Genomic DNA, 26044 nt, shown 5'->3' on the forward strand with positions numbered 1-26044 from the left:
GATCACTTCCTTACACCTTATACAAAAATTAATTCAAGATGGATTAAAGACTTACATGTTAGACCTAAAACCATAAAAACCCTAGAAGAAAACCTAGGCAATACCATGCAGGACATAGGCATGGGCAAGGACTTCATCTCTAAAACACCAAAAGCAATGGGAACAAAAGCCAAAATTGACAAATGGGATCTAATTAAACTAAAGAGCTTCTGCACAGCAAAAGAAACGAACATCAGAGTGAACAGGCAACCTACAGAATGGGAGAAAATTTTGGCAACCTACTCATCTGACAAAGGGCTAACATCCAGAATCTACAGTGAACTCAAACAAATTTACAAGAAAAAAACAAACAACCCCATCAAAAAGTGGGCAACGGATATGAACAGATACTTCTCAAAAGAAGACATTTATGCAGTCAAAAAACACATGAAAAAATGCTCATCATCACTGGCCATCAGAGAAATGCAAATCAAAACCACAATGAGATACCATCTCACACCAGTTAGAATGGCAATCATTAAGTCAGGAAACAACAGGTGCTGGAGAGGATGTGGAGAAATAGGAACACTTTTACACTGTTGGTGGGACTGTAAACTAGTTCAACCATTGTGGAAGTCAGTGTGGCGATTCCTCAGGGATCTAGAACTAGAAATACCATTTGATTCAGCCATTCCATTACTGGGTATATGCCCAAAGGATTATAAATCATGCAGCTATAAAGACACATGCACATGTATGTTTATGGCGGCACTATTCACAATAGCAAAGACTTGGAACCAACCCAGATGTCCAACAATGATAGACTGGATTAAGAAAATGTGGCACATATACACCATGGAATACTATGCAGCCATAAAAAATGGTGAGTTCATGTCCTTTGTAGGGACATGGATGAAGCTGGGAACCATCATTCTCAGCAAACTATCACAAGGACAAAAAACCAAACACCGCATGTTCTCACTCACAGGTGGGAATTGAACAATGAGAACACGTGGACACAGGAAGGGGAACATCACACACTGGGGACTATTGTGGGGTGGGGGGAGGGGGGAGGGATAGCATTAGGAGATATACCTAATGCTAAATGATGAGTTAATGCGTGCAGCACACCAACATGGCACATGTATACATATGTAACAAACCTGCACGTTCTGCACATATACCCTAAAACTTAAAGTATAATAATAATAAAATTAAAAAAAAAAGAGCGTGGCTCCTCCCCGACTTCTCTTGCTCATTCTCTTGCCATGTGACATGCTCGCTCCCCCTTCTCTATCCACCATGAGTAGAAGCTTACTGAGGCCCTCACCAAAAGGAGATGCTGGCACCATGCTTCTTGTACAGCTTGTAGAACCATGAGCCAAATAAACCTCTTTTCTTTATAAATTAAAAAAAAAAAAAAAGAAAGAAAGACATGCAAAAATGAGAAAATAAAAAAAATTCATGGCACCTTGACCTGTTGATTTCACTTGCCTTCTGACTGGGCCCCAGAATATGAAAGGGCTTTGGATGTTCCCAACCAACAGTCACCACTGCAGGAACACAATAAACCCATCGCTGATGTGAGTCATGATGGTGGATCTTTACATTAGGGGAAAATGGCATGTGAATGAACAGCTGCTGCAGGGGGAAGGGGGTCAGAAATCACTCCTGTCCCCACATGAGAATGCAGCTGCAATTATCCTTGGTGACATCGGAAAGGGCAATAAGAAAATAATACTTGTTTTATCAAATGCCCCCCTCTAAGCTGACCGAGCTGCAAACCAACAATTAAACCATGATCATAATAGCAGACAATAATAATTAAGTATCACGCTATCCAAAGAGCAAAAACTGAGAAGACAGACCAAAGCCCAAATCCAGCATTGGTGTCTATAGCAAAATAAAAGGCTCTTCTCTTCAGGGACCAGCTGGCATGCAAAAGAAATAAAAGATTCTTTGGTTATTTTCTAAAGTGGAAAAATAAAACTGGGCTTCAGGTCACTGAAAACGTTGCAGAATGTTCCAGGGTAGTGACTGCTGTCTTGGACTTAAGCTGTGACCTTGTGCTTCCCTCTAACGTGCTGGGTGACCTCCGGCCAGCTGCCCTCTCTTCCTCATCACCCTGTCACTGGAGGCTCTGAGACTGCCTATCACTAGACAGAGTCCAGAGTCTGCCCTGTAGGTGTCAGGGATTCTGTGAGGGGCCAATGTATCTTTGTCCTTGGAAGAAATGTTTCCATAAAGTCAAAACACTGGCTGTGGAACCAAAGACCTGGGTTCAAATTGCAGTTGTTTTTTTTTTTTTTTTTTTTTGAGATAGAGTCTTGCTCTGTCACCAGGTTGGAGTGCAGTGGTGCCATCTTGGCTCACTGCAATCTCCGCCCCCTGGGTTCAAGCGATTCTCCTGCCTCAGCCTTTCAAGTAGCTGGGATTACAGGCTCATGCCACCACATCCAGCTAATTTTTGTATTTATAGTAGAGATGGGGTTTCACCATGTTGGCCAGGATGGTCTCAATCTCCTGACCTCGTGATCCACCCACCTCGGTCTCCCAAAGTGTTGGGATTACAGGCGTGAGCCACTGCGCCCAGCCTCAAATACTAGTTCTGAGAGAGCTAACTTGGTGACCTTGCAGAGCCTCAATTTACCCCCGTGTAAAATGGCTGTAATTTCAATCTATCAAGCAGCGTTGCTAAGAGTATTATCATAAATGAAATCACATAGAAAGCATCTAGCACATAGTATTAAATAATCATCAAATGGTAAAATCACCTAAAATAATTCCATTTTTGTTCAATTTATTTTATTTTTTACTTGACTAAGAGAGATGTGCTAAAGTCTCCTATAAGGATTGTCAATTTCTCCTCATATTTCTGACAGATTTTGCTTTATGTTTTCTCATTAGGTTACTTAGTGCAGATTCATGACTGTTAGCATTATTGTGGACTATGCATTTTATCATATGAAAGCATTCCCTGTGTCTCTTTTAATGTTATTTAACCTTGAATTTTACTTTTTTTTTTTTTCTTTTTGAGATGGAGTCTTGCTCTGTCACCCAGGCTGGAGTGCAGTGGCACAATCTCAGCTCACTGCAAGCTCTGCCTCCCGGGTTCAAGCCATTCTCCTGTCTCAGCCTCCCGAGTAGCTGGGGCTACAGGTGCCCGCCACCACGCCTGGCTAATTTTTTATTTTTATTTTTAGTAGAGACGGGGTTTCACCGTGTTAGCCAGGATGGCCTCGCCTTTTTTTTTTTTTTTTTTTTTTTTAACAGAAAAGCAATATTGTGATCCCTGCTTTTTACTTCCATGTGTTCTCATGCTATTCTTTTGTCCCAACCTTTTATTTTTAATATTTTGTTGTTCTTCTGTTTAGCAGCATTCTTTTAAATTTTATCCAACCCAAGAATCTTTGCCTTGCAATATGAATGTTTCCCATGTGGGCACCAGCTCATAGCTCTTTACGGCTCCTGCTTTCCCTGCCACAGGTCAGTCAGTAGTTACTCTACACATCACGGTAGAGGCTTCCTTTCCCTGTGCACCGTCGTCTTGGGGCCTCTCTCTGGGATCCTGTGTTTGCTCCCTTTGCAGACCCTTTGCTCAGCATCTGAGTCTTGCACTCCGCCCAGGCACCTGACTTTAGCTCTTTGCTGATCCTTCAGAGAAGCCTCAGACGGTAGCACTTCTGTGCTCTGGGCCTTATATCCGGTCAGCCTCTCAGTCTCCTGCCCATCCTGAGCTCCTGTAACCTTGATCTGCTCCAGAGGCTGCCTCCTCTCCCCCCATTCTCTTTTCCCTACATGAGGCCTGGAGCCTTGAATTACTTTGTGGAACAGACACCTCCAGCCCCACCCAGGACCCTGTTCCCCACTGCAGACTAGCACTGGACTGTGAAGTGTGTGAAAAATTAACCTTTATTGTGTTAAACCACTGAGATTTGGGGGTTATCTGTTATATCAGTTAGCCATTACTGTTGACTAATAATACAAGCTTATTTCCATCATCCTGTTTTATGCTTTTTTTTTTTTTTTTTTTTTTTTGAGACAGAATCTCACTCTGGCACCCAGGCTGGAGTACAGTGGCATGATCTAAGCCCACTATAAGCTCCGCCTCCTGTGTTCAAGTGATTCTCATGCCTCAGCCTCCTGAATAGCTGGGACTACAGGTGCATGCCACCATGCCTGGCTAATTTTTCTATTTTTAGTAAGATGGGGTTTAGCTGGGTTGACCATGCTGGTCTCGAACTCCTGGCCTCAAGTGATTCACCTCCCTCAGCCTCCCAAAGTGCTGGGATTACAGGCATGAGACACCACGCCTGGCTGTGTTTTATGCTTTTGTTTATTATATTTTCTTGCTTTTTTGGGTAATATTCCTTAGTTTGTAAGTTTTCTTTAGTGATTTGCAAAGTACACATTTTATTTTAAATTCTATGGGTGGTTTTCTTTAAGCATTTTCAAAAGTACTCCTAAACTTGTATTTTCTCTAATCATCAAATTTAAGAAAAATAATATATTATACCATTTTACTTCTTCTTATGTAAGACAGTAAATCTTAAAAAGGTTTCACCTTTCCCTATGCCCTCTCCCAACCATCAAACCATTGACAATATAAGTAGGGACTAGAGGCCCAAGTTACACACAATCTTTCATAGTCACCAATTCTTAGTACCGTGTAGTTTTTCTAAACATCTCAGTTGGCTAAAAATTGTATGTCTGTATTAGCTTCCTGTGGATGCTGTAACATATTACAACAAACTTGGTGGCTTAAAACACTAGAAATTTGGCCAGGCATGATGGCTCATGCCTGTAATCCCAGCACTTTGGGAGGCCGAGGCAGGTAGATCACCTGAGGTCAGGAGTTCTAGACCAGCCTGGCAAACATGATGAAACCCTGTCTCTACTAAAAGTACAAAAATTAGCCAGGTGTGGTGGCAGGTGCCTTTAACCCCAGGTACTTGGGAGGCTGAGGTCGGAGAATCACTTGAACCCGGGAGGTGGAGTTTGCAGTGAGCTGAAATCGCACCACTGCACTCCAGCCTGGGCAACAGAGCGAGACTCCAAATCAAACAAACAAACAAACATAAACAAAACCAGAAATTTATTCTTTCATAGTTCTGGAGGCCAGATGTCTGAAATCAGTATTGCTGCGCTTCAATCAATGTGTCAGTAGGGCCATGCTCCCTCTGGAAGCTCCAGAATAGACTCTGTTCCTGCCTCTTCCAATTTCTGATGCTGCTGGCATTCGTTGGCTTATGGCTATATCACTCTAACCTCTACCTCTGTCTTTGAATCACCTTCTCCTCTACGTGTATAAAATCTCCCTCTGTCTTCTTCTTACAAAGTTGCATGTGGTGGCATCTAGGGTTCACCCAGATAATCCAGGATAACCCCTTCATTTCAAAATCCTTAATTTAATCACACCTGCAGAGACCCTTTATCCAAATAAGGCAATATTTACAGGTTCCACGCATTGGAACCTCACATTTTTGGGGGCCACCATTCAACCTACTACAATGTTTTTGTAAGTTCCTCAGGAAGCCGATGAGAGCCAATTTTATGTGGCTTTTGTGCATATCTGAGGATAATATGTTACCTTTGTAAGTGAATCATATTTCCTGGCTGAATCAACAATTCTTGAGGCCAATAGCACCACTGACTTTGGACTTTGGTATTATGGAAAAGAAAAGGAGTCTTAGGAGGGTTGGATTAGTTGTGGTGGTTTTGTAAATGAATATTTTATAGAATGAGGGATGACTATGTACTTGCCTGTGTGAGTCGGTTTTGCCAAATGCTTGTAGGGATTTTTTATAATTCATCCTGAGCTCCTATACCCTTGGTCTGCTCTAGAGGTTGCCTCTGCCTCCCCCTTTCCCTTCTACCTCACCCAAGGTCTAGAGCCCCGAATTACTTTGTGGAGTAAGCACTCCCACCCCTTGGAACGATTTCATTTTTCATCACGTTGTATCTAATTTATTTTTTCCCTGGAAATTCAACGACTCCTTTCACTTCACTGAGCACATTTTAGCCTTGGTCAACCCACTCCCCACCTTTTCCCCAGGGGAGGTGATGGCCTTTTGTATATTATTATTCCTTCTGCTCAGTTTCATTGCTCTTCTGCATTTGTGCTTCCTGGATTGGCACTTTGTCTTCCATGTTTGTCTACTTTTCATTACTTAGAGTCTAGCTTGTCTACTACTTCAATGCTTTTATTTCTTACAAGGCAAATGCTGCTATTGTGGATTTTAGTTGTTGCTGTGTGTTTAATTTCTTCGCATTCCTTTCTTACCTTAATCACTGTCTGTCTATTTCAGAATCTCTCCTCCTGCATTTCATCATCCATCTTCTATTGATCATGCATATTTCTTATATTTAAATGAGATTATTATGTCTATATCCATTTAAATTTTCATGTCTATTATAGTAAAACATGTTTAGAAAAAAATTTTGTATTTTTTTAGGGAGATGGTTCTCTTTTAATGAGTGGTATGTTTTAAGTGGCATCATACAAGTTTATTTTATGTACTTTTTGCTTATTTCTTTACTTATTTTTGGAAAGGGAGAGATCTATACTGGTTCAGTGTGGTCAACCCACAGGGAACGTGCATTTCTTTGGTTGAATAGTTTATTTTCCTCCTAAGAGATGTTGGAATTCAGTTTTGGGATCTTAAACTGGCAGTCAAGTTGATGCATTCTGGCCAATTCAACTACTCAGTGTAGCTCGGTTAGATTATCGTATGAGGATAATTTGAAGTAGTTTGTGTTTCTTTCTCTAGAGGTGTTCTATGAAAAACTGAATGGCCGGAGAGTGCCACCATTCTCAAAGCTTCATTTATACCTTCCAGGCTATCCACATCCTCTCCTTCAAAAAATGTGTACATTCCTTTTGGCTATTCTCCAATTTGTTGAAGACTTAAATCTGACAAAGGAATACCCCACTGTGTGTGTGCTTCTCTGTTCAGTTCCTTTAGGAGATCAGCTCTTGCAGTGTAAGTACACGAACCTTCTCTGTTTAAGGTTTAACTTGCTATAATTGCTCAGAAATAAACCCTCTGGAAGCTGCTGAACCTGTGGCCATGATTCCTGGCAAGAGCTGTGAATGCAAGCTTCACTTCTGGTGCCTTCTGCCTCCTCTGGGCCAGCTGCCCACTTGCTGGCTGGAGGGAGGCAACACTGACCACTGTGGGGAGTTGCTGCCCTGTGACTGATCTGAAACGACAGCAAGGGAATCCAGGCTTCAGGCACAACCAGATGTTTTTCTAGCCCAGCATCCTCCCAGGAAGATAAGCTCCACTGGGCAGGGGTCCTGGTTAATCAAAACCATGCCCGCCAATGCCTGCTGCATGGTGACCAAAATCCAAGAATGGAGTTTTCAGTTTTCCCTGTGTGTTAATCATTAAGAAGTATCCCTGAAGTTAAAAAACAAGGACTATTAGCCAAATATGAGCTTTATGGGCATAGCAGAAATCCGAGTGTCCAGAGTGAGAAGTTCTCCACCTTCCATGGGTCCCAGATCTCTGCAGGGAAAGCACATCGGCAGAGGACTGTCTCCTCTCCCTTCTTCCTTCCCCCTCCACGAAGCCAGACAACCGTAGCTTCAACCCGAACCACATTTGCGCATAAGAAATGACTCAGTTCTTTTGAATATAACCAGGATCCCTCAACAGTGCTCCTAGGCTCCTCCCTGGCTTCCCAGCCAATTTATCCTCTGCACTGCTGCCACAGATCTTCCTGAAGTCCTCATATCCCCCCTAGACAATGAGCTCTTCCAGAAGCAGCTGTGTACATTCATATCTTCCTCCCTTTCACATGCCTGGGAGGGCCTCACCTCCACCCTGCATGGTGAGCTCCTACTGTTCTTTAAAGTGCAGCTGGAAAGGTGCTTCCTCCCTGTAGTCCACCCCCAACTGCCATACAGAATTATGATCTGTCCTCGCAGACACTTTTCTATTGTGTTTCGTGCATACTTCCACTATAGCATTCATCACATTATCTTAGAATCTATAGCAGAAACTGTGGGTTGGATGATCTGTGCTTCATTTCCAAACCTCTCATCTCTCTACTATTGAGGCTCTAAAAGCAAAGCAAAATTGATTTCCCACTTTTTCCCTGCCAGGCATGGCAAGTTCTGACTAATGAGATGTAGGACAGTATCTCTAAGGATAGTGGTTCTTCCCAAATACACAAGCAAACTTTCATCAGGAGAGAGCTCCGTGCCCTTTCCTCTTCCCTCTTCTTTTAGACTGGAACACAGACATAATGTCTGGAGCTGCGGCAGCCAACTAGGTAGCCACGAGGATGAAAGCCTCAGGATGGCAGACCAAGAAGGAAGGTTATGGCTTCCTGAGCAGCGGTACCAAGTCTGGATGGGACCTTCAGATTCTTGTTCCAGGAGAAAAATGAACCCCCATCTGTTGAAGCCAGCTTTAGTCCGTTTTTCTATTTTCATTCCTAACTGATATAATTTCTGTCTATAATACTGAGACCTTCAAGGGGAAAAGCTGTTTCTTATTTATATTTATACCCCCGTGCCTGGCAGAATGCCCAGCACTGAGTAAATGCTCCAAGTTTTTAAATTGAACTGAATGTTGTTACTGTCTTTAAAGTGTTCCAACAGCTCCTTATTATACTGAGAAATCCATTCAGAGTTCTTGTCTTGGCCTTCAGTGTGTAAAGACTCCTCCTTACCCACACAGCCTTATTTGCCCACATGCACGCAGCTCCAGCCACGTCAAGTGAGTGCCCTTTCGTGGCCAGATCCTGTATTTTCCCCTATGTTCATACCTTTGCTCTCTTACCCCTAGCTGGAAAGATTGCCTCTACAGTCCCAGGCAGAACTCCTCTCTCTCTTCTCTGTTACTGAACTCCGTCACTTGGCTTGCACTTATAGCATCTATTTTATCTTGGAGGTACCTGTCTGTTTGACTATTTCCCCACTAGAATGTGAACTCTTGGCAGACAAGGCCTGGCCTTGGTCTGGACTTTGTGTTTCCGACTGCACAGCATCACACAGTCTCTGGCACAGAGCAGGTAATCATTGCATATTTTGTTAGATGGAATCAGACCACAGCCTGAATGGCAGATGGGAAAGAGCAAAGACTGACATTAGACGGAACATGTTCCAATCCCACATTACTGGGTAATTGTCAGATCTCAAGGAAGGTCATTCATTCTTTCTGGGCCTCGATGATCTCATCTATAAAATGGGGACAGTAATAACTGATTCAGAACCTGGTGTGCTATAGGTATTTGATGAATGTTTTAGAGGGGCAGAACCAAGAGCAAAGGGCTTTCCCTCCCTTTCTTTTCCAGTTTTCATCTGAGCTCGCCCACTGATTATTAAAAACAAAACAAAACAAAACCCTCCAGCTCAACACCAGAAGCTGAGAAGAGTTTCCACTCCTATAGGATGAAACTTCTGTGTTCTATGTACTGATGACACAGGCAAGGGTGACAGGGAGGGAGCAGCTCATGGGTCTGCCCTCCTGCTGTCAGCTGCCAGGCCTGGATGGAGTGCATTGGCTCATCCACCCCATTCTTGGCACTTAGGAAGAAGCACTTGCCAGATGCTGTAGGTATTACCAGGGTTCAAGGAAAGGGGCTGCCTTCCATTCCACTCTTGTCACACACATCCAGGCAGGACCCATTTTCCAGCTTGGACCACACCCAAGGGTAAGCCTGACTGTAGATTCCTGCAGCCAACTACTTTGCCTCTTGGGCACTCCTGGGAAGGGACCATCCTTGCCCAGCTTGCTGGAGCAAACCTGGCTACAGATCCCTCTGGTCACCCTCAGTGCTGGATCAGGGCTGAAGCAGGGTAGGGAGATGCATCTGCAAGCCTTCTCCTGTCTGTGCCCCTGGAAATAGCCTCATCGGCTAGCCTGCTGCCTAGCCCATGTCCCTTCCCACCTAGCACACATGCTCCCACCCACAGTACAGCACCCACCACCTGAGATCCTTTAGGGGTGACTTACAGCCTGCTGTGCTTAGGAATACTCTGTTTGGGTAAAATGAACAACTATCCACCTAGCTCCAGGTGGGAGTTCTCATCATTTGGGAATTACAAGCCAGCCACATTCTAGGTGCTTTATATATGTTCACTCAATCTTCATAGCAACCTTAAGGAGGGTACCCTCTTTAATTACCATCTTAAACATAAGAGAACTGAGGCACAGAGGGCTTAAAGAGTTCCCTGAGCAACACAGCAAATAAGAGTTCAGGTAGGCTGGTACCAGAGTCCAGCGCTTAGCTATGACTTGATAGTGAATAAACAATAAAACTCATGGGACATAAAGAATCCAGCTGAATAATCAAACCAAATGGCTCAAGTGCAAAATGCAGTTGACACAGGGAAAAACTGACAACCATTGTAAAACAAAACACAAATAGTATTCTCAGGGATACAAGATGATAACATATTGATAAAAACAAAAGTAGGCTGTCAAGAGCAGTCTAGAAACAGAAAATTAGTTTCCTTGAAATAAAAACAAAAGCAAGATTTCCAAAACAAAAAGAGGGTAAAGAACAGGATAATTACTGTTGAGAACTGAATTAATGAAAACACAAGATCACTGGCAAAATAAAAACAGGATATAGAACTCTGAAATCACTAGAACAAAAAGCCAATTAAAGCAGATCAGCTAACAACAGGAAGAGTTAACAATAAAAAAAAGCAATATAGAAGCATAATGTATTCTGTTTGAAAGAAAGCATAATACATTTTATGTAAAAGAAATATAGCCCCTTGTACTCATTTCATATTCTTCAATGCCCATGGAACATAAATAAAACAAAAAGTTTGAAAAGTAAAAAAAGGCACAATGCAGTCAAAATAAAAATAATGAAAAGCATACAAGATCTATAAACCACTTAGTAACTGAAAAAATTCTTAAATATTATTGGATTTAAGAGAAACCTAAATGAGTTATAGACTAGAAATGAGCCCAGTTGAACACTCTATATGAAAAAGACAAATTGTCCAAACAGAAAACACACAAAGAACCAGAAACAGCAAAGACAATTAAATATCCTATTGTCCATCTAAGCGGTGAAGACTGAAAGTATTGACAATGTCTAGTGATACTGCGTGGGGTAGCAGGCCTTCCCATAGACTTCTGGTAGACTTGTAAATTGCTATAATATCTAGAAGAAAATTTGAGGTCATGTATCAAAATTTACCTCCTAAAAATATATCCTAAGGAAATAAATGGACAACTGTTCGAAGATTCAGGAATAAGAATGTTGGAGTGAAAAGCTGAAAAGATTCACTTATTCAACAGGGGAATAGTTAAATAAATTATGGTGGTACATACAATAGAATTCTCTGTACCCATCAAACAGGATGAGGTAGGTCTATAGACATTGACATGATGAGATGGTGACATATGATTAAGAGGTAAAACAGAAAACAAGCTACTAAGCCATGCATGTGGATGAACTTGGTTTAGAAACATGTGCATTACATTTGCTTTATGTACATATTGGCACACAAAATATCCAAAAGAATAAGTAGAGCAGACAGACATTAATAGTTATTTTATGTGGGGTGTGAGGAGGAGTAAGATTACAGAGTAAGATTGTGGAAACGTTTCATTTCGAGTTTATAAATTTGTTTAAATTTTGAATTTTAAAAAAATGATTATCTGGCTGGGCACAGTGGCTCACACCTGTAATCCCAGCACTTTGGGAGGCTGAGGCAGGAGAATCACTTGAGGCCAGGAGTTCGAGACCAGCCTGGCTAACATGGTGAAACCCTGTCTCTACAAAAATTAGCCAGGCGTGATGGCGCTTGCCTGTAATCCCAGCTACTTGGGAGGCTGAGGCATGAGAACTGCTTGAACCTGGAAGGTAGGGGTTGCAGTGAGCTGAGACAGTGCCACTGTATTCCAGTCTGGGCAATAGAACAAGACTGTCCAACCCTCCTCCAAAAAAAAGAGTACCTAATTTGTATATAGAAAAATTCTATAAAGATATTTCTAATAAAAAAGATAATAACTAAATAAGGACTCAAACACAAAGGGGCTTTTTGTGTTTGTCTAATTATGAGTGTGAGTTATCCTAACTTTGCTGCTGGTTATTCAAGACAGGTGTGTGTGTGTGTTGGGGGTTGAGGCGGAGGGAGAGGAGAAAAAGAGAGAGAGGGAGGGAAGGAGAGGAAGAGAGGGAGTGGGAAAGAAGGAGGGAAGGAGAGGAGGAGAGGGAGAGAGGGAGTGGGAAAGAAGAAGGGAAGGGGAGAGAAAGGGGGAGGACGGAGTGAGCACACATAAATACAGCTGTACGTGTGCATGCTATGCATACTGGCTGGGATGGCAGACTGGGGTGGGAGAATGAGGAAGGGACAGTGTCTTGCCACTCTATCTCCATCTTTCTGCAGCTCTCAGTGAAACTGGGAAGACATCTTCTTACTTCACATTAGCTCCTTTGAGGTTGCTGTGGCTCCAAGAAGCCATCCAGACTAAGGACTGATGTTATCTTTACCTTCTTTGGACCTTTACTTTCTTCTTCCCATTTTGGGATCCTCAGCATGCCCCCCATGACTTCATATTTCTTGCTATGTTACTCTGGAGAGGACGTTTCCTGTATTGGTTTTGATCTTGTCTTCCTGAGGGCTAGAAAGGCGCCTCCTGTCTCCCCTCCACCCCCATAGCCACCATTCTCATCAGTGAAAATGGTCCTCACTACTGCCCAGAAATCCATTCATCAGTTTATTGTAATTTCCTTGTGCCAGCCACACCTAGATCTGCTCTGCTCTCCTTAATTCCCAGAGAATTAATGCTGTGCCTTTTAGGTACATTACGGCCGCTATGCCATGGATGAACACATCCTTCTCTTTAGACGATGTGTGCCAAAGCATCTAGAAATGAAGTATCATGATGTTGACAGTGTACTTTCCAGCAGCTCAGCAAAAAGGAAAACAAAAGGATGGAAAGAGAAGAACAAAGAAAGCACATAAGCATATATGGCAAAATAGTAACGCCATTTGGGTGTAGGCGGTAGGTACGCGGGTACTTGGTGTATTGTTGTCACAAACAGTAGTTGAGAAAAGTTGGTGTGATCACTTGAATGTCCCCTGAATTTTCTCTTCTTCTCCATCTCCACTGCCACTGCCTGACTTCTGGCCTCCTCGTCCCCAGCCACACTCTGGAGGCAGCTTCCTCACTGCGCTTACCGGCCCAGCCCGTCCCACTCCGCCCATTCTCCTCCAAACTGCCAGGAGCTGTCAAAACGCAGCCTCATAGCCCCAACGCCCTCTGTGCTCCCCACAGCCTCCACCACCAGCTTCATCTCCCATGAATGCCGCCACCCACCAAATCGCAGGTGATCATCCAGCTGCGGGAACCATTTCCAGCTCCTTGAGGCTGACCACACTGCTTCACTCTGCCTAGAGGCCCATTACCCTCCCACCCACCTTCCTCCTTGGCTACCTGGCAACCTCCTCTCCTTCCTTCAGGACTCAGCTCTAGGGTCACCTTTTCCAGAATAACTTCTCCCATCTCCTCCTGTCCTGCTTTTTCATTCCCCTTCCTCATTGTGCCACCACCTTGTTCTGGACAGACATGTGCGTCTGCTCTTTGTGAACCATGGCCACATCTCATTCATTTATATAATGCCAGCATCTGGCACAGGCACAACCAGGTAGTAAACAAACAGATATTTGTGAATATGAGGGAATGAATGCATCAATGAATGATGCTCCAAGTGAAGAAAGTGGGAAAACCTCTTGATTTGCACATGTGTATACTAAAGTGAAATAGTCATTATGTTCTCGATCCACTCATTGTTCAACCACTAGTCACCGAGGAACTATCATAGATCCACTAGGCATATAACTACCTTTATACTTGGGTCTTGCTTCATTCATTCTTTCATTCATCAAACACTTGACACTTGTTGAGCCGGGGGCACTGTGCTAAGAGCTGGGAGACTTGCAAAGATGAATCAGGCAGAGACCACAGCTCCAGGAGGGGAGGTAAGGCATGAGCATAAATAAAGGAGAAAAGTGGTCAGTGTCATCAGGAAAATATATGCAACAGGTAATGGAAGTTCAAAAGAGGCAGAAAGGACTCCTAGGAGCCCCGCAAGAGAGGGGGTGAGGGATGACCTCCCGGGTGAGCTGACATTTGCACTTGACTTTGAGGGATGGATAATTTTAGATGTAAGCCTTTGGAGGGAGGAGGGCGTTCCAGAGGAAGGGCAGAGTAGAAACAAAGGCCCTGAGCTAGGCCCTGAGCTAGGCCATGTACAGGGGTCACCAATAATTTTGCTTTGCCGGAATGTCATTGAAGAGAAGTGGAAAATAAGGTTGGGGAGGGAGGCTGAAGTCGCTGTAGCCTCAAAGGCCAGAATAAAATGTTTAGCTTTTATTCTGTGAGCGTGGGGTGGCCATGGAATCCGGTTTCTGATCAGAGGGTGAATTGATCAGGTATGCTTTCAGAAGGTTATCCCAGCAGTGCCGTGCAGGATGAATGTGCATATTTAACTTGTTCCCTAACAATGCAAAGTCCCTATGTACACTGCTGACCTTATTTTCCTCAGAGTTTAGCTAAAAAATTTGTACATATTAAATACTTAATACATTTCCTTAACATTAATTGAACTGTGTACATAAGTGAATATCTATATTTCTTGCAGCAAAACACCCATTCAGCCAGTTCTTCTTAATTGGAAACTCTTACATGCAGGAATCTTCTCCTAGCTATACTTCTATTCCTTTTCTTGGCTCCTCACTATTCCAAATCCTTAGCACTTACTTCCTGGATCATTGTAACAGACTCCTGATGGTGTCTCCCCATGAGCTCTCTACACTGCAAATAACCCTGGTGGACCGACGCTGCTCAAGAACCTTCCATGGCTCCCTCTTAGTTACTGGCATTTAAGATGGTCCATAACCAGGCTATACTTTACCCCTATCTATCTCCCATTCCTTACCCATGTGTTTCCCCTACTCCAGCCAGACTGTTTCCCCCCCAATTCCCTTGTTCTATCCTCCTTTCATACCTCCGCTCATACTGCTACCCCAACCTGCTCTTTTCCTCCTAACTCACCTGAGCCATGGCTCAAGGCCCCGTTTTGCCAGCAGTGCAATAGTGTGAAGATTCAGAAAGACCTGGGTTCGGATCTCAGAGTTTTGATTCCCTGTGCAAACTTAGAAATGCTATGCATCCTCTTGGAATCTGAGTTTTCTCATCTATAAAATGGGAATTACAATAATGCCTATTTGTTATTAGGGCTTACTATTATTATCAATAGGGCTATTGCAGGGAGTTAATAAGGTAGGCTCTGTGTTCAGTAAATGGTGATGGTTCTTTCTCCTCTGACTCCTTGAAATTCCAATAAGGAATGCCTGGAAGGAAGTTACATTTTGATGGCATACCTATTTTGAAGGAATTTATCTTTTGAAGAAGTACATACCACTGCTGGTCTTTTGCTATTTACTTCCTCCACAACTCTAAAATACAAGCATTTCTGTCCTCATTTTAAAGATGAGGAAACAGCCTAAAAAAGGGAAGCAATCTGCCAGGGGCCATACAGCTAAAGCTGAGTTAGTGCTTGCTAACTGTCAGAAATAACCACAGCAACTGTTATTAAATATTTCACTATGTTCCAAATACTATACTGAGCATATTACATGCAATATCTCATTCAAGTGCTTTATCCTGAGATCCACACTCTACAGAAGAGGACAATGAGATGCAGAGAGGATAAGGAACTTTCCCAAAGTCCTGCAAACAGTACATGGAAGGGTTGGATTCAAATGGGGGTCTGCATGCCTTCAATCCATGCCCTCGGCTACTCTGCTGTAACTGTGCTATCTGGGCCAGTGAGGTGTATGGACTTGGCATGAAGCCCTGAGAGGCTGAGACTGACCTTTCTAGATTTTCTAAGGCATCCAGTATAGCAACCACTATTGATCACAAGGTTCTCCAGGTGAGGCAGGCAGGCCAGGCACTAGCTGGATGGCCTGGTGATGATGCTGATGATGGCTCCCCTGAACAACTGGCGATAGTTACTTTGTCAGCCCTGACACTTACCCAATGGTGCAGCCGGCCTCTGCTTCGATGGTCCAGATGCAGTTGAGATTGTGTTCATAGGGAGCTGGATACCCGGGTGACAGCACCTGCCCCGACACCTCTCCTCTCACTGTCCCTCCACACTCGGCTGAAAGAAATCCCAAAAGAGTGAGCTTCATGGGGTGGCCTGAGCTGCCAGCAGTCACTCAGTGGCTCCTTTTGCCTGTTTGCTCTTGAGTCCCTTCCCTCTCCCATTCATTTCAAGTGATTGAGCACAGCATATTAAAAGGTCTCTGGATGAGACTTATATCCAGAACCTATAAAGAACCCCTACAAATCAACAATAAAAAGACAAGTAACCCAATTTATAAAAGGCAAAGGATTCGAATAAACATTTCTCCAAAGAGGATATATAAATAGCCAATACATACATGAAAAGATGTTTAACATTGTTAGTCATTAGGGAAATACAAATCAAACTCACAATGAGATATCACTTCACACCCACTGGGATGTCTATAGTCAAAAAGACTATACAAGCGTAGGTGGGGAGTGGAGAAACTGGAACTCTCATCATTATTGATGGAAATGTAAAATGGTGCAGCTGCTTTCAAAAACAAGTTGGTGGTTCCTCAAAATGTTAAACATAGTCACCATATGACCTAGCAATTCTGCTCTTAGGCATATACCCAAGATAAATGAAAACATGTTCACATAAAAACTTGAACATGAATGTTCATAGCAACGTTATTCATAGTTATCAAAAAGTGGAAACAACCCAAATGTCTATCAACTGATGAATGAATAAACAAAATGTGGCATAGCCATACAATGGAATAGTATTCAACCATAAAAAGGAATCAAGGCGGCCGGGCATGGTGGCTCATCCCTGTAATCTCAGCATTTTGTGGGGCTGAGGTGGGTGGCTTACCTGCGGTCGGGAGTTTCAGATCAGCCTGACCAACATGGAGAAACCCCATCTCTACTAAAAATACAAAAAATTAGCCAGGCGTGGTGGTACATGCCTGTAATCCCAGCTACTCAGGAGGCTGAGGTAGGAGAATCACTTGAACCCAGGAGGTGGAGGTTGTGGTGAACCGAGATCGCACCATTGCACTCCAGCCTGGGCAACAAATGCGAAACTCCATCTCAAAACAATAACAACAACAACAACAACAACAAGGAATCAAGGCTTGCTACATGCTACAATATAGATGAACGCTGAAAACATTAGTTAAGTGAAGGAAGTCAGACACATTGTGCGATTCCACTTATGTGAAATACCTAGAATAGGCAAATCTTGGAGACAGAAGGTACGTTAGTGGTTGCCAGGGCCTGGGGAAGGGGACAACGGGGAGTGGCTGTTAATGGGCATGGGTTTTCTCTTGTGGGGGACAAAATGTTCAAAAATTAGATTGTGGTGATGGCTGTACAAGCCTGTGAGTATACTACTCACATGGTTAGGCTTTGTGTCCCTACCCAAATTTCGTCTTGAATTGTAATCCCCAGATATTGAGGGAGGAACCTGGTGGGAGGTGACTGGATCATGGGGCCAGTTTTCCCCATACTGTTCTCATGATAGTGAGTGAGCTCTCACGAGATCTGATGGTTTTATAAGTTCCATCAGAACTTATGAAGTTCCTCCTTCTCTCACTTTTCTCTCTCCTGCTGCCTTGTAAAGAAGGTGCCTGCTTCCCCTTCCGCCATGATTGTATGTTTCCTGAGGCTTCCCCAGCCATGAGGAACTGTGAGTCAATTAAGCCTCTTTTCTTTACAAATTACCTAGTCTCAGGTAGTATCTTTACAGCAGTGTGAGAACAGACTAATATAACTACAAACAACTGAATTGTACACTGGTAAATAAAAATGGTCCCTGAGTGTAGGGCTGATTGCCTGTTCTGTGACCAACCTCCTCAAAGCCTCCTAGGGAGGAACATGCAAGTACTTCAACCTGCTTCTTGATAGCAACAGGACCTCTGCTGGCTGCCAGGACAGCAGAGATCAACAGGATACTGCCCTCCCCTGGAAGAGTTTACTGTCTAGTAGAGAAGACAGCCACACTGTGTGCTAGGTATCCTAACAACAAGTAGCAGCAGAAGTGACCAATCTCCCTGAGCAAAGGACAGCGAGGGTCAGGGAGGGTGCTGGTCTTAAATGAACCTTGAAGGAGAAGCAAGAGTTGACCAGGTCGGTTGGGTGGCAAGGGTAGGATGGGAAGGAGGGCACTGCAGAGAGAGACAGAAGAGTAACTGCAAAGTTCCTGGAGGTGAGGAACAGCATGGCAGGCTGGAGGCTGGGGTATGAGATAGGGAGATGGGGGAGATGGGACTGGAAAGGTGAGGAAGCATCACAGGTTGAAGGACCTTGGATACCAGGCTGTCATATATTCACTGTTCCAGGAAAGAATTGCAGTGATTATACATGTGAGTTAATTGACTGCATGACACATCAGTGAACTTTGCATGTTAGGAGGAGTCACTGTGGTGGCAGTATGATGGGGTACAGCAGGGGTGAAACTGGAGGCAGGGAGGCAGGTGAAGAGGTCTACATTCCCCATTGGAGCAGTCACTGAAGTCAGAAGCTGGGGGTTCCTGCTGGTGTTCTCCTCCTTCCTCCCCGACATCTAATCTGCCTCTGAGACCCAGTCGCTAAACCTGTGTGGTATTATTCATGTTTGACTCTACTTTGCCCACATTGCTGGAGTCTTGACTCAGGCCCTCACAATCTCTAGGCTGGCAGAGTTGCCCACGCTCTAGGCAGTGCCATCAACGGATCTTTATCAAATGCAAACAAGTCACTGCTTGCATTCACTCCCCAAATGAAGTCTAAACTTTTCAGTAGAGCCCACTGAGCCCACCAGAGTGGCTCCCTTTGGCCTCCGTGAACTCTTTGGTCTAGGCTGATGAAGTCCACAAGCTCTATTTGGATGGAGGACCTGAATAAACATCCTCGCTGTGACATCTTTTGTGACATACCTCCCCTCCCCAGGTAGAACTGACACTGCCCTCCTTTGTGTCTGCATTACAATGTGAATAGATTTCTACTATAGCATGTGTAACATGTTATTAAAATCATGTCTATTTCCTCCACAAGACTAAGAGCTCCTTGGCAGCAGGGACCTTGTCTTATATCTGCACATCAAGTACCTAGTATACTGTTTGGCACATTATAGATGCTTAACGTTTATTGAATTAATGGATGGCTGGACAATCAAATGAATGGAAGCAGATTATTGCTTTCCATGCAAATTACTATAAGCGTCTGAATCAAGGGAGAATGAGTACAAATGAAGAGGAGGATGTTCATTGCAGAGCTATTTAGGAAAAGGAATAGTTGATTAGGCAAGATGCTAGAAATAGGAGAAGAAGGGATCAGGGTCACAGATGGAAGACTGACCCCTACCTGTTGCTATAAAGGACACATCAAACATTTCATGGACCCGTTGGTTTCACACAGGACCACTAAGGAAGGGTTGCAGGAGAGGCCCTCTACAAGACCCTCTGCTCAAGCTTCACTCTTCTCTCCAAGGTGCTGTTGGGGTGGGAGGTGCCAACCTGATTGAAAGATGCCAGGCTGAATGGACCCATGGCAGGGAGTAGGGTGCTGGTGAGAGGATGGACTACAATTGTGGGGAGGAGGCTTGACTGGTTCCACAAATAGAGGAAGTAGCTAGAAAGGTGGGAGGGCATTATCCATGTCCTTGGTTAGAGCTTCCTTCCATATTCCAGACAGAGAAGGACCTCCTGCTTCCTGGGAAGTGAGGATTTGGAGGCAGCAGCACTGGGAACATGTCATCATGGACAACTAGATACCTTACCTGGGGCCTGGCAGGTGGGCAGGAGGGGGCTGAGTGGGCCAGCATGTAGCAGATTCAACAACATTGAGAACATGTAAGTCTACTCTTTCTGGTCTTCTCCCTTCTTCCCACCCTTGAGTCTTGGCTGCTTTGTTTGGGCTGCAGAGTCCACTCACCGAAGAATAAAACATTTGGATGTTTTAAGCTATAGCAGTCATTTGTGGTAGACCATGATGAAGTCGACCACAACATGACATATACAAAAATATGCACATAATCTCAAATACACAGCCTCAATCCCCTAGCAGGCTAGAGGCAGTCTCAATGGGGAAGGCCTCCAAGGTTCTAGTGTAAGTCTAAGTTTAAATGCTCTTATACTGCTTGAGTGAACCCAATAAGTCCAGTCCAACTGGCATATTTGATATTCAAAGTAATCTTACAGTGAATCTTTTCTGCAAAGCAAATAATTATCTTGTAATACGAGTCATCATCCCTCCTTTTCATTTTGTGTGCTCTGGCTTGCTTGTCTGTGGCATTATACGGTTGTGTGTTTATGCAAGCATCACCCTTCCTGGCCTGAGATCTGCTCTTCTCTGTATTCCTAGTGCCTAGCATAGTTCCTGGCACATGAATGAGGGGAGATATAAAAAGAGATGGAGGGCGAAAGGGGAGATATGCCTGAAGACCAGGTCAAAGGCAAAGGGAGAGGAAGACCCTAGAGGTTCCATAAAGGCTACTGTTTCGGTCTGTCCACTTGCAGAGGGTCCACTTAGACCCTCCATTGTATAACAGTGTTAAAGATCCTGTGAAAATGTAGTCGTCTAGGGGAAAAGCATCTGTGGCCTTTAACACTTCCCACCATGCTGGTTCACACTTTCACCCTTGCACGTGCTCAGTCTAGAATGTCAACCTCCCTTCCTCTCCCTCCTGTTGGTGAATTCTAATCCATTCTTCCAAGTCTCAATTGAAATATCACCTCCCATGCAAAACATTCTCATATCCTCCCAACATTTTGCACTTAACTCTTTTTACAGTGCTTCTCTTACATTATACTTATCTGTTTATGTGTCTATTCTCCATGCTGGAGTATGGGCCCTGACAAGGGCAGTGAACAGGTTTTATTCTTCATTTATTTCTCTGCCTCCACAAATACCCAGACATACATGTGCACCAATTTTGGCATGTGGGGCTTGGTAGGCATGTATGTGTTTTTCCAGTGGAGGTTTTGTTCTTACAAGATTAGCCAGTGCTGGCACAGACACGTTGAGGTTGTGGGACATGGGGAAGGGGGTGGAGAGAGAGACAGATCTGGTTTTGGAAAGGTAGGAGGCAGGACGAAGCAGTATGGGGGAACTCACATTAGCAGGGAGATGGGTGGTAAGAGATGAAAAGGCCAAACAGAACAACCAATTTTGCCTATTTTGCACTTCTGCCTCAGATCACTGTCTCTTGTCCTGTGACACATGTGTAAAGATTCTAGAGAACCTCTGATGACATTCTGGAAGAATCACAGGTTTAAGAAGATGCAAGTTCATTATTGCATTCTTTATCAGTGAGAGCAATGGGTGTTCTTTATCTTACTATGTCTTTTGACATTCCTCCAGTAAAGGGAGAATGAGCCCCATTTTACCTATAGGGAAACTGAGACCTAAAGTGGGTGGGAGACTCATTTGAGTCTTGGCGTTACGATAAGCCCTGGAACTCAGGCAAAAGCCCCATCTCTCCCTTTCTAATGGACTCTCCCACCTCATCGCTATCACCCGCGTTACAATTTTGAGGGCATGACTTGGCTGTGGTCCCACTTGCTAAATGTGCGACAAAGGCAAGCCACCCGCCTGACTGCACTGCTGCATGGGTGTAATGAGGTGTGAAAGTGAGGAAGTGGAGAAGGGGTGCAGGTGAACCATGATGCCTGTTAACAAGAGGATTCAGTCCAAGTTGATGGCCCCCAGGCCCTGGAGCATGGGGTCTAACTGGAATGAGACCAGGACTAGAGCTTGGTATTATGGGAGACCCAAGGGTTCCCTGCAGAGGAAGAGCCCTCCTACCGACACAGGTGGGCAGAGGCCGGTCCCAGGTCCGGCGCTCTCCACTCAGACACAGCAGCTCCTCACTACCCCGCAGGCTGTATCCAGGGTCACAGCTGAAGGACACGGAGCTCCCTGCAAAATGACCTTCATCATGAACCTTGTAGCCAAACTTGGGGGTTCCTGGGTCCTCACATTTGATGAGTTCAAAGCCTGGTGAGGAGAGAAGAGGTAGAGTGAGTAAGACCTATTGTGGCAGAAACCATGCTTCCTCTCTTCCCTCAAAGCCCACGTCCTCAAGGAAGCTGTCTCAGCCACGGACCCTGGGTTCTGATGGATTCACCAGTCAGGATTTCCTCATTTCTATGCTCAGTTGAGGGTATATTAAGGAACATCCATTTCTCTGTTGCTATATGTAAATGATTTCTGCTTTTAATAGTTTTCAGGCCTAAGGTCTGCATTTTCTATTTCTTTTGTTTGACCCCGTAGCATTTTTGCTAGCAGGAGCGTTCTTTTCATTTTGCTTATTGAGACATTCTGATAAGATGGTGTAATATGGAGAAGTCACTTTAAATGTATGTTTAAAAGCTGAGTTATGACCTGCTTAAACATACGCTGTTGAAATGGGCTGGAAAAGGAAACAGATTTATGCAGAGCTCCCACTCTACGGCGCTATACATGTGTTCTCTCTCATTTGTTATTCACAGGAGTCTTACAGGTGGGTATAATTATCTGCATTTTACAACGGAGAGCATTGATTTGGGAAGGTTAAATAAATTGTTCCAAACTTACACAATTTTCACATGATAGAAGTGGAATTCAAAGGTGTCTCTAATCCTCTTCCACTGAACCTCTTGCTGTAACAGGCAAGGATCCTCTGCCAGGCAGCCTTGAGCCCAGACGAGGGGAAACCTGACTATACTCCGTGCATGATTTTCCCCAATAGCTTTCTTTATTGAGATACAATTCACATACCATACATTCTCCCACCTAATGTGTACAATCCAATGTCTTTTAGTAGATTCAGAGTTGTACAGCTATTGCCATAATCAGTTCTAGAACATTTTTATCACCTCAAAAAGAAGTTCCATACACATTTTTCCCCCAACTCCCTCAGCCCTAGGCAACTGCCCTTTACTTTCTGGCTCTATGGATTTGCCTGTTCTGGACAGTTCATATGATGGAGCTCAAACAATATGTGGCCTTTGAGACTGGATTCTTTCACTTACTGCAATCTTTTCAAGGGTCATCCATGTCAAAGCATGTATACTTTACTCCATTTTTTTTTTTCTTTTTTTAGACAGTCTTGCTCTGTCACCCAGGCTAGAGTGCAGTGGCGCAATCTCGGCTCACTGCAACCTCTGCCTTCCGGGTTCAAGCAATTCTCCTGCCTCAGCCTCCCAAGTAGCTGGGATTACAGGCACCCGCCACCACGCCCAGCTAATTTTTGTAGTTTTAGTAGAGATGGGGTTTCACCATCTTGGCCAGGCTGGTCTTGAACTCCTGACCTCGTGATCCACCCGCCTTGGCCTCCCAAAGTGCTGGGATTATAGGCATGAACCACTGTGCCCGGCCACTTCACTCCTTTTTATGGACAAATGCTATTCCATTGTATGAACATATCACATTTTGTTTACCCATGCATCCACTGATGGATACATATTGGATTTTAAAACAGTCTTAAGAGCACATTCTTTGTATCTCGTGAGCAAGCAGAAGCTCAAATAAATGAATAAAATGGGAAACCCTGACTTCCTTGTCCACACAGATGCAAGAAAGACTTACTGGAAAAGTGCAGTTCAAAGCCCTTGCTGGTGTTTTCAGCATCAGTGATGAAATCAAGCCACAGACTGCTGGATGTGCTGTTCAAAGTCACCCCCATCATCTCAGAATGGCTAAAAACTCCCAGCAAACGGGCGGAGTTGTTGTTGCCATCATAAACCTGGACACAGGAGAGACCCCCAACCCAATGTCGTCAGCATGGCCTTATGTTGAACAACACCTCCTTACCCCACAACCCACACTCCTGGAGTTTAGCACTGGTAACAACTATCAGAGGCACAGTGAGTTATCAGATGCAAGGAAGATGGCAGAGGGAAGCTATCAACTGAGCAAGTTATCTCGTTTTCCCTTGATGTCAGTTCTATGCTCAGCCCATCTTTAGTGTGAATCTAGTCTTTGGGAACTCATTGCTATTCTAATCTTTCCAGTGGAGATTTGTTCTTGTTCCCGCAATGCCCATATAGCACCAGCTTACTCTTTAGCAGCCTGGGGAGGCCAGGTTTGGGTTGCCTGCTTGTCAAACCATCTGTTTCTTCAGAGAGACAGGCTGAAAGCATTCATCTCTACATTGCTAAACCCTCAATCCTGTCCTTCCAGTAGATGAGACAGCCATCCTCTCACCTGATCCCACCCCACTGTGGCAGTAGCCTGTCTTGAGCACTCTGCTGGACATCATCCCTGGGATCCAGACACCAGCATGTCATGGTGACTTTTTCTTCCCCAAGCTCAGCCTCTGCCCCTTCCCTCCTAAAATGAGGGCTCCAGCTAGGGCCTGCTGGGCTTGCCAAGGGTGGAATCGTACAGGCATCTGGCTTCCCTCACTCCCATCTGTCCCCTGAACTTCTTAGTACCAGCAAAGACAACAATCATCAGAATAATGAACTGGCTCCCCAGGTTTCAAGGTTGCTGCTCCTTTCCAGATAATTGTACAAATAACAACAGAAGTTGTGATTGAGTGAAAGACCCCCTGGTGCTTTTGTAAATATCAAAGATGGGATCTCTGAGTGGGTGATGAATATTTGTGCATGGCACACAATGTGATGCCAGCTGCCAGCAAATTGGCACAATATTTCCATTGTACTATTTATGAAGCAAAGCTTTCTAAAAGAAGCCATCCTTCAAACTAACAGTGTTGTATATTACAGAGATTTGTTTAGGCTCCTGGGAGCCTGAAGTCTGTTTCCAGATCCTTGTGTAATTGCTGTGTATCACTGATAGACTGAGTGAATTCTGGGGTTCCAACAGACATCAAGATAATACAAGTTCAAAGAGTTTAGCTTAAATTGTTACAAAAATATTTTTAATCACCGAAACATATGGAAATCAATGGACCAAGGCATTTATCATCAATGGACTAGGAATCATCAATTGCAATAAGAAATAATAATCATCAATTGCAGTAAGAAAGACAATCAGACACCATGTGTTTCTTTAATAAAAGATATACCATCACCCATGGAGTTATCTTGCCCAAAAAATCAGACCTGATCAGATCAAGCCACTGGATCCAATTTCCAACTTACAGGCAATAAATACCGAGGACAGAGGAACATACGAAATGATACCCTGTGAGTGCATTCAGCAAAATCCAGAGTGGAAAGTTCCACTGAACAAATGATCTGATTTCCTCAACAAGTAAGTTACAAGGGGGAAAAGAAAAGAGATGGAGGGAGAAACCTACAGATTAAAAAACACATCAGACAATGAATCTAATGTGTGGACCTTATTGAATCCTGATTCAAATAAACTATAAATTTAAAAAATATTATGACATCTATGAGATAATTGGAAATTTAAACCCTCACTGGATATATGATGCTATTAAGAAATTATGGTTAATTAATAAAAAGTATGATGGGAACAGGATATTTTCCTTAATTTCCAAGCATAATTCATCCTAATTCATCAAGAACAAAAATGTTACTTGCATCATTACAATATTAATTGCAGAAAAACTTATAAAACAGAAATGTGCAAATAACTTTCAGAACTTACAACATGTTGGTAAGTGTCCTTCTAGCCTTTATTCTATGCATTTATTTCCTTGCATAAATTTATGTTTTTATAATTTTTTATAACAATAAGATCGAATTATAGATACTATAGGGCAAACTGCTCTTTCACTTAATATAATGTGTATATTTTTAAAGTCATTAAATATTTTTTCCATAACAGCATTTAAATGGTGGCAGGAATTTCTATAATAAAAATTAACCCAATCTGCAAGATAATTATTTACATATCAGCGCCCAAAATATATGCTCTGGCACATAAGGCTCACTCAGTAAATGTATGATAAATAAACCAATATTTTCCTCTAGAATTCATGTCGTTAAATCTACCTGGAATTTATTTTGGGATATGATATACAATTCTACCTTAACTCCCTGATAGATTAGTCATTTAACCAAACTCTGTTTGTAAATATTCCACACACTACTAATTTCAAATCAGTC

At 43.5% G+C, this 26044-nt stretch overlaps 1 protein-coding gene across 12 annotated transcripts in view; it reads right to left on the reverse strand.

The window, feature by feature from the left end:
* Window positions 1-26044, reverse strand: part of CSMD2 (CUB and Sushi multiple domains 2) — a 651845-nt gene that overhangs the window by 162928 nt on the left and 462873 nt on the right. For all 12 annotated transcript variants that reach the window (XM_047443685.1, XM_047443656.1, NM_052896.5 and 9 more), the window contains 3 exons: window positions 23592-23748; window positions 21828-22019; window positions 16005-16131 (listed from right to left, as the gene is read on the reverse strand). In XM_047443685.1, the coding sequence (XP_047299641.1) occupies window positions 16005-16131; window positions 21828-22019; window positions 23592-23748 (476 nt within the window). The remainder of the gene's footprint in view (window positions 1-16004; window positions 16132-21827; window positions 22020-23591; window positions 23749-26044) is intronic.

Source organism: Homo sapiens, chromosome 1 (assembly GCF_000001405.40).
Source record: "Homo sapiens chromosome 1, GRCh38.p14 Primary Assembly".
Taxonomy (NCBI): Eukaryota; Metazoa; Chordata; class Mammalia; order Primates; family Hominidae; genus Homo; species Homo sapiens.